The 16,813-nt window shown below is 41.5% G+C and overlaps 1 protein-coding gene across 2 annotated transcripts in view; it reads left to right on the forward strand.

The window, feature by feature from the left end:
• Nucleotides 1-16,813, forward strand: part of CLSTN2 (calsyntenin 2) — a 642,213-nt gene that overhangs the window by 238,332 nt on the left and 387,068 nt on the right. For both annotated transcript variants that reach the window (NM_022131.3, XM_017007022.3), the window contains exon 2: nucleotides 2,435-2,557. In NM_022131.3, coding sequence (NP_071414.2) covers nucleotides 2,435-2,557 — 123 coding nt within the window. The remainder of the gene's footprint in view (nucleotides 1-2,434; nucleotides 2,558-16,813) is intronic.

The following is a 16,813-nucleotide window of genomic DNA, read 5'->3' on the forward strand; positions in this document are numbered from 1 at the left end:
GGCGATTCCCCAGTAGGGACTCTGTGTGGGGGCTCCGACCCCACATTTCCCTTCTGCACTGCCCTAGCAGAGGTTCTCCATGAGAGCCACTCCCCTGCAGCAAACTTTTGCCTGGGCATCCAGGCATTTCCATACATGTTCTGAAATTCAGGTGGAGGTTTCCAAACCTCAATTCTTGACTTCTGTGCACCTGCAGGCTCAATGCCATGTGGAAGCCACCAAGACTTGGCGCTTGCACCATCTGAAGCCATGGCCTGAGCTCTATGTTGGCCCCTTTCAGCCATGGCTGGAGCAGCTGGGATGCAGGGCACCAAGTCCCTAGGCTGCACACAGCTCAGAGGTCCAGCCCATGAAACCATGTTTTTCCTTCTAGGCCTCAGGTCCTATGATGGGAGGGGCTGCCATGAAGACCTCTGAACATGCCCTGGAGACATTTTCCCATTGTCTTGGGGATTAACATTGGGCTTCTCGTTACTTATGAAAATTTCTACAATTGACTGGAATTTCTCCTCAGAAAATGGGATTTTCTTTTCTATCGCATTGTCAGGCTGCAAATTTTTCAAACTTATCTGCTCTGTTTCCCTTTTAAAACTGAATGCTTTTAACAGCACCCAAGTCATCTCTTGAATGCTTTGCTGCTTAGAAATTTCTTCCACCAGATACCCTAAATCATCTCTCTCAAGTTCAAAGTCCCACAAGTGTCTAGGGCAGGGGCAAAATGCTGCCAGTCTCTGCTAAAATATAACAAGAGTCACCTTTGCTCCGGTTCCCAACAAGTTCCTCATCTCCATCTAAGACCACCTCAGCCTGGAGCTTATTGCCCATATCACTATCAGCATTTTGGGCAAAGCCATTCAACAAGTCTCTAGGAAGTTTCAAACTTTCCCACATTTTCCTGTCTTCTTCTGAGCCCTCCAAACTGTTCCAACCTCTGCCTGTTTCCCAATTCCAAAGTCACTTCCACATTTTTGGGTATCTTTTCAGCAATGCCCCACTCTACTGGTACCAATTCACTGTATTAGTATGTTTTCATGCTGCTGATAAAGACATACCCCAGACTGGGCAATTTACAAAAGAAAGAGGTTTAATTGGACCTCTTACCATCCTGTCTTACATGGATGGCAGCAGGCAAAGAGAGAATGAGGAAGCCGTAAAAGCGGAAACCCCTGAGAAAACCATCAGATCTTGTGAGACGTATTCACAACCACGAGAACAGTGTGGGGGAAACCACCCCCATCATTCAATTATCTGCTACTGGGTCCCTCCCACAACATGTGGGAATTATGGGAGTACAATTCAAGATGAGATTTGGATGGGAACACAGAGCCAAACCATATCACTGGGAATCTGGGAACAAAAACTTATTGTCTCACGTTTATGGATGCCAGAAATATGAAATCAAGGTGTTGGCAGGTCCAGGTTCCCTCTGAAGGCTCTAGGAAAGGCTCCGTTCCAGGATTCTCTCCTAGCTTCCTGTAGTTCCTTGGCCTGGGGCTGCACAACTCTATTTTCACATGAGATTCTCTCAGTATACATATTTCTGTGCCACAATTTTCCCTTTATACGAGTACACTAATCATATCGGATGCGGAACCACCCTAATGACATTTTAAAACTTGATTACCTCTGTAAAGATTCTATCTCCCAATAATTCACATACTGAGATTCTAAGTGTTAGGATATCAATGTATTTTTTTTATGTAGAGGACACAATTCAACCCATAAAATATATTTGATATGTGTTTTCATTGTATTAATTGTTCATTGGTTAATATTTAATTCAGCTAGTCAAATTATTGAAGAACAATTTAAGTTACCAATAATTTAGACCACTGAGATACACAGTTTTTAAATGATCAGAAAATATTCAAATATCTGTTTTATCTTTGCATATATAATGATATTTATACATATGTGTGTGTATACATGTATACATGTATTTAAAATGCAGTAACTTCTAATGATGGATCAGATTTGGTTGAGGTCAGAAAGCTGAGCATACATAGTAGTAACTGCTAGTTTATTGAGTGACAAAGCACTTTAACTCTGAAACATCTATTAATAGATGGTAGCATTACAGAATTAAAGCTTTCAATCAGTTCTCAGTAACATCTATCTGTACTGGGTATCCAGACATACAAATAATGGGATTTTGACGAGGTGAAGAATCCGTGGTCTTAGAGGCAAAACAAACAGTGTTTGATAGTCAATGCTGTCTCTCACCTTCTGAGTGGCTTGGGTGAGGTGTTGAACCTCTTCCCGCACTTCTCTGAAGCTTTTCTGGGTTTAAAATGGGATTAACATGTTCCATGTCTCTCATGGGATTGTTGGATGAGAGTCTATGATTGGGCAAATATACAATCTTAATAATACATTATTATGGGTTTGTTATTTAAATAATGATCCTTTTTGTTTTTTCCCCCTTATTTTCTAGTCAATAAGCACAAGCCATGGATCGAGACTTCATATCATGGAGTCATAACTGAGAACAATGACACAGTCATTTTGGACCCACCACTGGTAGCCCTGGATAAAGATGCACCGGTTCCTTTTGCAGGTGAGATTATGGCTTCGTACGGCTGGGCCTGGCTCACTTTGAAGATGTGCTGTGAAACCTCCACAAAGCCCAGAATATGGCTTTATAGCTATTGTCACCACCCTGTGCATCTCTAGATCAGCCTGTGATGTTAAAGCTGTATGCCTCTTATTTCTGGGATGGATTCTGGCTGTCCTTATGTTTTTGTTTGTTTGTTTTTTCCTTCATGTTGCCTCCAGTGCAAGACCCTTGTTTCTTCTTCTTCTAAGGAGTGGTAAATTGCTGAAGTGGCCTGTGGAGTTGGAGAAGTTGGGCTAGTAAGGTTCTTAGGGGAATTTTACCCATAGAGAGAAGACCTATTGGCCGACTACCCACATGTAATTGATAAGTGGAGACTCATAGCTTGGTACATTGGCAAGAGAAAAGAGAGAGAAAAAAAGACCAGGAAATATCTGCTAAGAGTGGCACAGGGTCTTGTCCTTGAGCTTCCAAGTGGGTGTGTCTCTGCAGGAGGAATCCCAAGGCAGTGCCATATTTCCCTCTTGTGGCTAGAGAGCCTCTCACTATCATCAAGGCTACCTCTGTTTCCTCCTCGGACCCTCTTCGAGGGGTAGGCCCCAGGAGGGGTGAGTGAGGAACTCGGCTATGCTTCATGCTTCCATGGATTTTGGCAAAGAGAAGGGACTGGTCATGGCAGTGGGAGGAGGGATTAGACAAAGGATTTCTGAAGATGCCTGCATCATGAGTAATATTGTTAACATTTTATAACTGTCCGGAGAAAGACAGGAAATTTAATGAAGGTTTTCAAGATTTCTAGAAGATTGTTTTATGATAGATGGGTGCCAGGCTGAGGTTTTCACCAGGATGAAGTCTATTTTTTTCTGACAGTTTGCCTGCTACATTATGAGCTGCTTGGGCAGAGAAAAGGGGGTTCTTTTGCACTTCTAAGAGATAAGCTTTGTGAAGACATCTTTCATTATGGAATATTATAAAGCATGGAGCGAGAAGGTAGTTATATTAAATGGGGAAATTCAGTATTATGTGAAGATAAACCCATAAGCATTCTTGCAAAGAGTGAGGGAGATACTCTATTCTCAGAAGAAAGCTTTATTTTATGTAGAATGAAAACCACTAAGGGTACCTGTGACTTCCGTGATGTTTAGAATTGAGGCATTTCCATACATTTCCCAATCACCCTTAGAAGTCCCAGTTTTACCAAATGCCTGTTGGAAGTATAAACTCCTTGCAGTCTTTACCACAAAAGATGAAGTATCTTCCCTAAACCTTCTTTGCCAGTCTAGGAAGACTCTAACACATCTCTTTCTTGGACATAGCTAATAATGGTATTAGTCAGTAATTATCAGCAACCTCCGGAAATGAGATTTTTAAACAAATATTAGTAAAAATGTTTGGGTCATGGAAATGTTTGGTTTATTATGCACTTAAAAAAATAGATGCCAGATATAGTGGCTCATGCCTGCAACCCCAGCACTTTGGGAGGCTGAGGCAGGAGAATCATTTGAGGCCAGAAGTTCAAGACAAGCCTGGGCAACATAATCAGAACCCATCTCTACAAAATAATAATAATAATAATTAGCTGGGCATGGTGGTGCATGCCTGGTCCTAGTTTCTCAGGAAGCCGAGGCAGGAGGATCGCTTGACTCAAGGAATTTTAGATGGCTGCTGTGAACTCTGATTGCACCAACTGCACTCTATCCTGTGTGACAGAGCAAAAAATAAATAGAAACAACATTTAGAAATTGAGAGATTTAGCATAAAAATGCAGGATTATGGTTTATCTTGATAAATCTGAAATACACAGCTGAATAGTGGCTTTCCTTTTTCCACTGAGCATGAACCCCTCACTTCCCTCATCCCCTTTCCTCCCAGCCTATATGCAGAGGCCCTTCCACCAAGAAGATCCTCTCATTCACCTTTCCATCTGAACATATGACCCCTCTTTCAAATATGACAGAGAAAAATAAAAGACAAACAGGAAGTAATCAGATGACATGAAGTCATTGCAGTGTCCTGAGGCTGGCACTTTAAAAGATGAGCAATGTGTCTGATTGTATGTCTGCCTTTAATGTCCTGTTCTCATCTAATAGTGAAAGGGAAACCGAAGTCGTTGAATAAGCTGTTCTACAGTAAAGTTATAAGCTCTCTAATGTACAGACCACAATAGAAAAAAAAAATACCTCAAGCAAATCTGGTATTTGAAAGTTTGGACTTACAAAAGGTTATTTAAGTTTGTTGGTTATAGGGCCGAAGAAGAATTAAATGTTTCATCTGAAGACTCACAAAAGGATTTCCTTAAGTCAGAAACCCACCAAATGCCTTTAAACTTGAATTAGTATTCTGACCATTAGATGCACCCACAACTGTTCAGACACTTCTTGAAACCATAGTTTCCTTCTAAGCCAAGTCTTGAGTAGTTATTTCCATTTAAAGACAACTTCTATACTTCTATGATTTGCAGCTGCCTTAAAAGAGTCTAGCTTAATGCATCAAGATATAATCCTCTGAGCTCTTAGGAGTAAAAAATAAAGGTGGTTTTAGAATGGCCAGAGCTATTTTTCTCAGTGTTATTTATGATCAGCTCTAAGACAGGACACAGGCACTAGCCATCCATCCATGCTGCAGGCGTTTATTTTAAAACATTTATCTTAAAAAGAAAATACCGAAGATTTATTTCAGATCCCTATCGTTCTCATAAAATTGAAAAATTCATATCTGCCAACTCCATCACTCCTCGAAGTCAACTGAAGCTTTTAGTCCTCGCTTATCAGCTGCTTTTGTATTGTGTGTCAGTTTTCCCACCCCTTTCCCAGTGGTCTTTATTTCTCATTTAGCCCAGGAGGTAGGCTCTAAGCTTTGTGGAAAACAATTTCATCCATACCATTTGTGCTCTTATTTCTCTTATCTGTCTCCCCCTTTAATTTTTTTTAAGAAAAATGTTTTACACATAGATTCTGCCATCTTACACATATCATTTAGAATCATACATGATCTCACGTGATTTTTATTTAAATAAATATTATGATTGCATTTTGTATATAAGTGCAAAATTCAAAGATTTAACATAGCTTTTATGGTATATCTCCTGATTATGACAAAAACAAGTGAGATATACAAGTATTTATTGTAGAAACTGTGGAAAATACAGTGAAACACACAGTAAAAGCATGAGGTATATGTTTTCACAACCCCAGAAAGGCTCTTTTAACATTTTAGTATATTTCCTTCTTGTCATTTTTCTACCTTTTTTTTTTTCAAAAATTGTGATCATGCTGGGTGCTCATGCTTGTAGTCCCAGCACTTTGGGAGGCTGAGGAGGGGAGGATTGCTTGAGCCCAGGAGTTTGATACCGGCCTGGGAAACATGGTAAGATCTTGTCTCTACAAAATAACAATAATAATAATAATTAATAATTAGCTGGGTGTGTTGGCACATACCTATAGTTCCAGCTACTCAGGAGGCTCAGGTAGGAGGATCAATTGATCCTAGGAAGTTGAGGCTGCAGTGAGCTGAGATTGTTCCACTGCACTCCAGAGCAAGACCCTATCTCAAAAAAAAAAAAAAAAAAAAAAAAAAAAAAAACCTTGCTATTATACCTCATTTTGAATACTATACCTTATTTTTTCACATTAATGAAAATTTGCCATTTTATTACATATTTTTCTGAAACTTTTTAAATGACTACATGATTTCCTATTTAATGAGTGTTCTAGAGTTTACCATTCTCTGACTGGCAGTTTGTCTATTTCCAATTCTCTTTTATTATAACATGTGTCCACATTTCAGATTCTGTTGTTTGGATGGATTTCCAGAATTTTAGTTGGCCAAACATTTTAAAGGTTGTAAAACATGTTAAATTGCTTTCCAGAAAAGTTGTATGAGTTTGCAGTTTCATTCACACCACCCAAGTCGCTCAGTCCCTGGCCGTCATAAGGTTCATTCTGATGGTGTGATTTAGTAGTAGCCTTGCTGTCATCATCTGTAAAAGAATATAAGCTTTCCAGGGCTGTTTGTTGTTTTGATGAAATTTAAAGAGTGTCTATGACACATCTTGCAATGATTCAAGATATAGGAGAAGTTTAATAAATTTGCGTTTCCTATTCCATACCCTCCTCCCTGCCAGTTGGCAGGGGAGATAACTAACTCAGAGACGCTAAGCAACTTGCCCAGAATCCCAGAACAGGCTAGCCTGGGGTTGAATCTAGAGCCAGGGCTTCTCAGCACTTACTCTAAGTTCTCTTTCCCTGTGATGTTTCCTTTTCATCTCTGCCCTACCTGATTAGTAAAGTGCTGATGCTCAGTCAGTGAAACCTCCCTCAGACTTCAGTCAAGTCCACTAGACTTGTCTCAATTCTTAACCCAGTGTCTGAGCTCTGTAGATTTGACCTTCTTAGAGAATCAGATACAGAAAAGAAAATCCTTGAGTAATAATGAAAATGCTGTCCGCTGCATGGCAAAAAATGATAATGAAAGCAAGCTGGGCACACCATGAACTTATTAATTTCTACCTGTGCCCCACCGAGGTCTGTTAGGAAACTGTGGAGACTTTTAAATTTCAAGGGAATTAGATTGCCTTTCAGAGATGATAGAACTGCTCATTTGTCTACATTGGGCCAGTCTGGACTTGTCTTTTATAAGGACAGGGCTGCAGAGAATGATCAGGCATAATTGGCTGACTTCTCAAGCTGGGTGACTCTCTGAGGGCTGCCCAGAAAATTGCCTGGGACGTGATTTGGCCTGGTTTTGATTAGCTGGTTACAGTGCTGGTTGCAGCTGGGAATGCTCTTTCATACATGGTTAACTCTGTTTGTCCTTTTGTTCAGGGCCTGCTAGTGTATCTGCCTCCTTATCTTGGGACCTGCCTCAGGGTCTTGTTCATGCCTCAGGCCCTATAGGTGCCTGATGGCAAAGACCCTCCCACAGGGATTGGGATAGACCCTTGGCAAAGCCTCTCCCACATGCTTGGGATAGCCATGTGTCTTATAGTGAGAAGGGAAGGCAGACATTGTGAATGGTCACAGGGCTTTGGCCCAAACTCACATAGGCTCTGCCACTTACTAGCTGTATGATCTCAGATAAGTCACTGAACTACTCTGAGGGACAGTTTCCTTATATTTAAAATGGGGGTAATCATAGTACCCACTCCTGGTGTTAATATGTAGATTAAGTAAGATACTAATGCAAAGTGCCTAGAGCTCTCTCTGGTAGCCAGTAGACACCCAATAAATCATAGTTGTGATAATCATAGCAATGATAATAATGAGGGTAATCAGAGTAATTGAAATTTGTATTATTATCAGTAAGCCACAAGTGTTTGATTCATTTGGGTTGATTACAATAGTGCAATTATAATCTGTGATTTTTTTTAAAAAAGAGAAAAGTTTTGAGTTTGTTCTAAGGCTTGATCACCCATTTGTACTGTCAAGGTATGTTGCCTAGATTGTTGGGTAGTGTAATGGTGTGGGACAGTCAGTTAAATAATGTAAGGGAAAATAGCTTGAAAATTGTTCAGGATTCTACAAATAAATATCAGTTAAGAATAAATTTTCTTACATTCTACCTATAATGTATCCCTATGGAATAATCTATTAGTTGAAAGATACAGTTTCAGACTGTTGCAAACCATGTGTCCTTTTATTACACACACACACACACACTTATGTCCAAACCTTACCAACCTTGGGGAACAGGTAGGTCAGCTATTATGATTCTGTTTTGCAAATGAAGACATTGAGGCTTTGGGAAATTTCAAATACTGTTCAAGCTTACCTAGCCAGGATGGATCAGTCCTGCCATTCAGTTCCATACTCTCAGACTCCAAGTCCTGCCTTCTTTCTCCTCTGCCAGTTTTCCAGTGTGTAGGACTTATGTCATTGGAAGTACAAGATTTACATGATACACAGATATAGCATTAAAGAGTGCTGAATCCCATGCTGAGTGAGTCATTCCCCTTTAAATTCTCTTTCTGATCATGTCCAGGAGAAAGGTGCAGCTTGGGAAGTTCAAGACATCTTCAATACCACTCAAATACTTGTTAATCTCTCTTTTTGACAAAGAGGAAGCAAGTTATATCACCAAGCCTTCAGTAAGCAACAACATCAAGCTAGAATTTTAATAATATTCGGTTGTATTTTATTTAGGTTATTCTCTATTCAAGGCAAGGATTGCTGGCTTTTCATTTTAGTCATTCTCTTTTAAAATAAATGCACTAGAGTTTTTAAAAACACCAAATTAAAAAAAAAGTAAACTAATATTTAGGCAGTTTATGGAAGCAGCAAAAATGATGAAAGAGGTCTGTGAGTGAGAACCACATGGGATATTGGGGAATAACCACATCAGGACCTCATTTCCCTATCCAGCGCCTTCAGGATCATGGGCACAGGACCCAGCCTTCTTCAGTCTGTCCTGCCCCACAGCTCTCTGAGCTCGGACCTCGCAGCAGAGATGCCATCCACATTAATCTCACAGTAGATGTGCCTTTGCATTCCAAGCTGGTTTGTTTGGGGGCCATTCCTGAGGACCAGAAGGCAGGGTGTCCCCTGGTATCCCACTCTGCTTCCCACCCAGTCATGAGGCTTCAGCCAAAGGTCAATTCTTCACCCTCCCTGCAGAAAATCAGCTCCAGACCTATCTGGAATCCACCATCTGGGCTACTGCCTCTCACCTACAAGAGTCTATTGTGTACTTCTCCATCATATTCTGTGCTCAACCTTGATGCCCCAGTTCTGTCCATGGCATCCTGATTGGAAGGAGTTTACTGGCAGTAGCTGGGGACCTGTGAAGATGGGCATACACAGCTCCTCCTGTGCTGAGTGGTCAGAGACAGGCTCTGAGGGCACAAAGCCCATGGAGGAAAGCTGAAGAGGTTGCCTCAAGGGGATGGCTAGAGGAGGGACTAAGAGCCAGAGTACAGAGGAAGGATGACAGGTGCAGGCTTCAGTGAGCCAAGAAGAGGGTAAAAGGTCCCAGGTAAATACCTACAGCAGGGACCATGGGTTTCATGGTCTGATTGATGGTAGAAGGTGAGGGATGGGGTCAGCAAGGCCTGTCACACCCATGCACCAGTGACCCTTACCCAGAGCTTTTGGATTTTCTTAATAAGAAGACTATTGATAGATCCTGCTTTAGGCCAAACTAATGTTTAGGGGACAATCAGTGGATACTTTTGGGCCATTTTCCCTCATTAAGGTTGAAAGGGGACACCCAGGGAGACAGACTATCCTGGTTTGCTTGGAAAGGAAGGATTTCCTGGGATGTGTGACTTCTAGTGCCCAAACCAGGAAGGTCCTCGTAAACCAGAGTGAGTTGGTCACTCTAACAGGAGACATGTGGAGTTTCAGGTTAGAACACTTGAGCACTGGCACTAAGAGATTGCTTGAGAGAAGCAGTTGAATGTAGGAATTTCAAGTTTTCTGGGACTCTGAGTTAATGACAATACTCTACTAAAACAAGATGAAAAGTGAATAATGAAATCAATAGTAATAGCAGATCTGGTGCCAGCCTATATACTAACTGTGCAAATTAGAAACAGGTGCCCCTTCTTATAGATGGACACTGTCTCACTCCAGAGCCCATGGCTTGGCAAGTAGAGAAAAAGGTGGATTTCTGCCCCTACTTGCCCCCTGGGCCATACATCATTGTACTGAAAACAACTTGTACACAACAGCACTGAAAATTAGCTAATGTTTATACATACCAGGCATTATTTTGCACACACTATATCATAATTTTAACAACAATCCTCTGAAATAGGCATTATTATTATTTTATAGGAGAGACCGATGTTAAGTCAGATTATATAATTTGCCAAGAACACAGTAGTAATGGTGAAGTTGTAATTTCAGCCCAGATGTCTGCAAGTATTGCTGTGCAACAACCACCCCAAAACTTATGAGCATCAAACAACAACCATTACTTCTTTCTTATTGGGCAGCTTCCTGCTTATTGGGCAGCTCTGCTCGTCTGAGCCAGGCTCAACTGATCTCAGCTGGGCTTGTTTATGTCTCCACCGGCTGTTAATGAGTAGGCTGTAGGCTGGCTGTTCTGTATGGTGACTTTGGCTGGGATGACACTGTTCTCCGTGTGTTCTTCCAGCAGGCTACCCTGAGCTTATTCCTTAAAGTGCAGAAATGTAAAAGCACATTGGCAAGCAGCTACTTATGAGAAGTTTGTTACTGTCTGTATTAGTCCATTTTCACACTGCTATGTAAAGAACTTCCCTGAGACTGGGTAACTTATAAAGAAAGAGGTTTAGTTGACTTACAGTTCTGCCTGGATGGGGAGGCCTCAGGAAACTTAAACTCATGGCAGAAGGGGAAGCAGACATGTGGTAGCAGGTGAGAGAGAGAGTGAAGGAGGAAGAGCCCCTTATGAAACCATCAGATCTCATGAGAACTCACTATCATGAGAACAGGATTGGGAAAACCACCCCCATGAGCCAGTCAGCTTCCATTAGGTCCCTCCCTTGACCCTTGGGGATTACAATTCGAGATGAGATTCTAGTAGAGACACAGAGCCAAACCATATCACTGTCCCACTGGCTAAAGCAAGTCTCATAGCCAAGCCCAGAGTCAGTGCAGGAGTGGACTACTAAAGGGCGTGGGGGGTAGGGTCATCAATGCAATCATTTCATCACAGCTTAACTGTAGGTCAAAATTATTCATACCCCTATTTCATGTAAAACATGCTCATCCCTATTCTAGAGACCCCCAAAATGTATCTAATCATGGCATCTGGCTTAAAGATCAATATTTTGTGATCCTTATCAGAACTGGATGCAGCTCCTCTTGATCCAGAGGCCGATAAATGACAAATTTTCTTCCCGCACATATACACCATGGGAAGGAAAACTCAGTAAGACTCCCACTCCAAGAGGAGAAGAATGGGAGGCACATAGCTACCACTGGTGTGGCCCATAGCAATTCTGATATCCTGCTGGAAAAATGTTGCCAGGTATCCCCCCATTTTAAGAGTGATTCTGCTCCTTAAAGGGGGCTTCCCTGTTTATTGTTCTCTGCTGCTCCCTGTTAACTTCTTTCATCATCATTTGGTTTTATTTGCTATATCCCAAGTCCGGGGGACTTGGCAAGAGTCTGCAGAATCCTCCTGAGTTCAGGATCCTGGGCTTAGTCCCTAAGAAAACTCTTTTCATTCATCTTCACATCAGTGGCTGACTCTGTCCGGCCTCAGTGCAAGACAGTGGTTCAAACCTGGAACTCCAAAGTCAGGGCTCTTTATACAATGAATCAGGAAAAACAAAAAATAAAGAACAAGACCCCCAACCACCTTTCTTTTTTTCTATTGGAAGAACACTTTAGAAGACTCAACAAGCTCCAAGCTTAAAGACATTCTGGGATATCAGAGAATTTAAATCAATGGCATGCTTCGTCGACAAGTAATGATGCAAACACATTATGGTATTTTCTCTGCTCACTGACCCGGTGGTCAAATTTCAAGCCCCATGACCCAGCCCACCTGACCAACTGTGATTGGGCCAGGGGTGGGCACCTGACCCAAGCTGCAACCTAACTTGCTAGCTGGATTGAAAAGATCAAATAGTGCAATTGGCTTCCTGTTTGAATGCTGAGAGGTTAAAAGGATGGGGGTGCAGGGCAGATGGAGATGGTGGGGGGCACGTGGGGAAGGGGGCAACTGTTGCAGGTGAAGCTTCCATAACATGCTCAAACTGCAGTTAGGAGTACCCTGTCAGCAGAGGGAGGGGAGGACAGTGGTCCCACAGAAGCAGATGTGCCCAGATGGGAGGGAGTGTGTGGTCCCTGAAGGGAATGATAGCCTCAGTTGCTGAGTGGTCCTGGTTGTCATATTGATCCTGAATTTCCACAAAATCATCTTTGTTGTTGCACTTTTATCCACTCTATCTCTTGAGATGGGTGAGTAAGAATAGCTCTGTCCTTGGAAACCAAAGAGGCCTAGTGAAAACTACCTGTTATATAGTTTACTGTGTTAAGGGGACGTGGGGCATCATTAAAGCTGAAGAAGAGTGAAAGACCCAAGAAAGCTCAGATAAGATGGCAGCATAGAGAAGAACGAACTGGGAATTTAAAACATTGAGGAAATCGTCTTTTAAAAAGACATAACTGGCAATCATCATAGCAAAATCAATGATATTGAGAACCAGCTCCTACTGCCAGTAATTGGACTGCTTAATAACAAGCTTAGACAAGTTAATACCAGGTCAAATTTCTCCTCCAGAAGCCATTTCTGTGGCTTACTGCAGTAGCCATATTGAATAGTCCTGGAATTGGAGCCCACCACAAATATTAATTATGAACATGAATTTTTAAGGTTAATGGTTTTACTTTAATGGGAATTTGGGGCCTCTGAAAGTCCTAAATGTCTCAGTGAACTTGTTTGAGATCACAAACCAAAGAACAAGAGTGCAACCAGATATTTATAGTTTATTCTGCTTGGCAGAGTGTCCAGAGTGAGATCACTGAATACCTTGGCATGAGTTCAGAGCTTGATTTTATTATCTTGTAGCTGCCTGTAATCACAGATGAGGCATCAAAGGCCAGCTGTCCCCCATGAATCTTGACAGTCTATATAAACTAATTACTTCTTTATGAGCTATCCTTTCAGAGGTTTGAAGAGAGGGCCTATTAAGCCAAGTTCAATATGATCTACAAACTTTAAAAATTATTATTTATCTAAGTTATAGTGCTGGGCCACAGTAAGTGACATCATTTGCAATGGTTGGCTTGGGTGGCTGTGACTTCATTGAAATACAATTTGTGTATTTTTTTTAATGGAAAGGTGAATCCCAGTGTGTTAGGGATTCTTTCTGCACATTAATGATACCAATAGCAAATTTCAAAGAGCAAGGAGTTAAAAAAACAAAACAAAACAAATTTGGGAAGTGAGGGCACAGAGGCACATGAGCAAATGGCTTTTTTTCTAACTCTACCAGGCTGTGGGTTGCAAGGGGAAAATCTTTATTCTCTTTGTCCCCAAATCCACTGCATGGCCCTTGGCCCTTTCCTTTTTTTGTGCCTTTCCCTTGAAGTCCCTAAAGAGGTGAGACACCAGGTATAACACTGCAGCCTGCCCTCTGCCACTCCTTGGGCCATTCCTCTTGGCTGCTATTCCCTGTTGCCTGTCATATCTGCACTGAGGCTGCCTTTGCTGCTCTGTCTCCCTGAGATGAGCCTCCACACCAGCCTCATATGTAGCAGGCTGGCCATACCACTGGGGTGTATGCTCTCAGCCTCTGCCTCTTGGTGACCACTGCCTGCCTCTGGATGCTTGTTACTATAATGCTGTCCTCACCAGCCCACCCTGATCCTGACATACCCCTGGATCATGCTGACCTCCCTTAATCGCCCCTCTCCCCAGCAAGGAGGAAAAGGCCTTTCTCTTCTGGCCTACTCTTGCTCAGGAGCTCCATCAGAGATGTTGTTTGAACTCTTAGTGATACTGTTCTTTCTATAATCTCATAGTCTTTCCTTTTCAGAGAAGGCTTGATGCTCCCAGGTTTTAGGTCTGAGTGATATATTCAAATACAGGCCTGAGCTGTCCTGTAGTAGGTAAACTTCCACTCAAGTATCTGCTGCTGATTCTGACCTCTGCCTTCTCAATTGTTTCTCATGTGTAGTGCTTTTCTTTTCTCTCAAGAGCTGATATTCCTGGCTTTCATCTGGTTTCCACTGTGTCTGTCCACTCACTCCTCCTCTCATGCCCACATTCAGTTCATCAGACATCATTATAAATGTATCAACTTGATTTACAAGAGGGCACTGAGCCAAATGCAACCCAACGTGGTGTAGTCAGACAGCAGGGGAGTGCTGAGATGGGCCATATAATTCCACCTGCTCCATATCAAAGTCTCACTTCCACCCCACCCAGGACTTGATATCAGCACTGATCAAAGGAATCCTTGAGTAGCATTCCTTTGGCTTCCATCCTCATGGCCACAGGTCCTGAAGTGCTCTCCTCTGGCCCAGCACTTGCCACAGTGGAGTGTACTTGTCTATTTGTGAGCCTGCCTTCTCACTAGTCTTAAGGCAGTTTCTGAATCCATTTTGTGTTTCTAGCACTGAGCACTGAGTAGGTGCTCAAAGTTTGTTGAATGAATGAATGATAGATTGTTACATTACATGCTTAAGCTGACCTTTCACCTTCTATGCTTTGGCGTGTTTGCTCCTGGGCTCAGTCCCGAATTCGGCAGCACTTGCAATGCAATCTATTTCAATGTCTGCTCCCCCTACCAAAGCAGGCTTGTTTATCCTTATGTCCTAGCACACCAGTTCGCTTAGAAGTTCTCAGTAAATATTTGTTGATTTGAATTGAAAAGGACTGAGTGGCTTACAACCTACCACTAAGAAGCATGGTGGTAGGGAGAGAGGGGCATGCCTCATCCTGATGCTTACATTGCACCTTGCAGGGGTTAATCCCAACTCCTCGTGGCCCTCTGGTTACTTGGAGCAATGCCATCCCAGCTGGTGTGCTTCCCAGATCACCATGCACATGCTTAAGGTAGCCCAGTGAAGGAAGAGGCCTGGCTAGGGTAAGTCTGGACTAGAGGGGACTGTGGTGATTCAAAGAGGAGACAGAGCAAGGAAAGAGACTGATGCTACCCAGCATTGGGTGATTATTTTTTAAGAAAGTTGTTTTTTAAAAAATTAAATTCTTTATTTTGAGGTAATTACAGATTCATATGCAGTTGTAAGACATCATACAGAGAGATTATGTGTATACCTTACTCAGTTTCCCCCAGTGATAACATCACGCAAAGCTATGGTAAAATATCACAACCAAAATATCGATATTACTACAGACAAGATACAGAGCATTTCTATCACAAGGATCCCACATTGCCCTTTTATGGCCATACCTACTCCCTCCCACCTACTCTCCTTAACCCTTGGCAACAACTTACCTGTTCTCATTCAGTAATTTAGTCCTTTTAAATATATGATATGAATGGAATCATACAGTAAGCAACCTTTTAGAATTGGCTTTTTTTCTCTTAGCATCATTTTCTGGAAATTCATCTAAGTTGTTGCCTATATGAATAGTCTGTCCTTTTTATTGTTGAGTGGTAGTCCATGGTATGGATATACCACACTCTTTTTAACCATTCCTTATTACCCATTTAGGGCTATTTTGAATAAAGCTGCTGTAAACATTTATGTACAAGTTTTTGTGTGAACATAAGTCTTTATTTTTCTGGGATACATGTCAGGAGTATAGTTGCTGGGTCATATAGTAGTTGCCTGTTAAGTTTTATAAGAAACTGCTGAAGTGTGTTCTAGCTGTACCATTTTTACTTTCCCACCGGCAGTGTATAAGTGATACAGTTTCTCTGCATCCACACCAGCATTTGATCTTGTCGCTGTTTTTTATTATAGTCATTTAGGTGTGTATGTATTATCTCATTGTGGTTTTAATTTGCATTTCTCTAATGGCTGATGATGTCAAATGTTTTTACATATGCTTATTTTCCACATGTATATCCTCTTCCATGAAATGTCTTTTGTTCATTTTATAATTGCATTAGGATTTTTGTTATTTATATTCTTACGGTTGAGTTTTGAGAATTATTTACATATTCTAAGTACTAATTCTTTGTCAGATATGTGGTTTGTAAATATTTTAATTTTTGTATAAAGTAAAACACTTTTGTATAAAGTAAAACCTGTACAGTTAGGTTGAGACTCCTTTATTTGTATTTTTTGCCTATGGATATCTAATTCCTCCCTCATCCATTTGTTTAAAAGTTTATCTTTCCTCCATTGAATTGCACCTTGGTCAAAAATCAGCAGGGCATCGTCTGAGTTCATTGAAGCTGCCATAAAAAAATACCATAGCCTGAGTAAGCTTATAAGCAACAAATTTATTTCTCACCGCTCTGGAGCCTGGGAAACTCAACATCAGAATACCAGCATTGTTGATTTCTGCTGAGGGCCTTCTTTCTCCTTCATGGATGTCACTTTTAGCTAAGTCCTCACAGGGTAGAAAGGGGAAGACAGCTCTCTAGGGCCTGTTTTATAAGGGACCTAATTTTACTTATGAGGGCTCTGCCCTCATGACTTAATGACCTCCCAAAGGCCCCACCTCCTAATACTATCACCTGGGGGATTACGTTTCAACATATGTAATTGCTGGGAGGACACACACATTCAGAACATAGCAGGCATGTTGTATGGGTCTATTTCTGGATTCTCTTCTCTCATCCATTAATCTTTGTGTCAATGGCCCCACCAAAATTATATAGTCTTGATTACTGTGGCTATATAAGCC

This window comes from Homo sapiens, chromosome 3, assembly GCF_000001405.40.
Source record: "Homo sapiens chromosome 3, GRCh38.p14 Primary Assembly".
In the NCBI taxonomy this organism is placed as follows: Eukaryota; Metazoa; Chordata; class Mammalia; order Primates; family Hominidae; genus Homo; species Homo sapiens.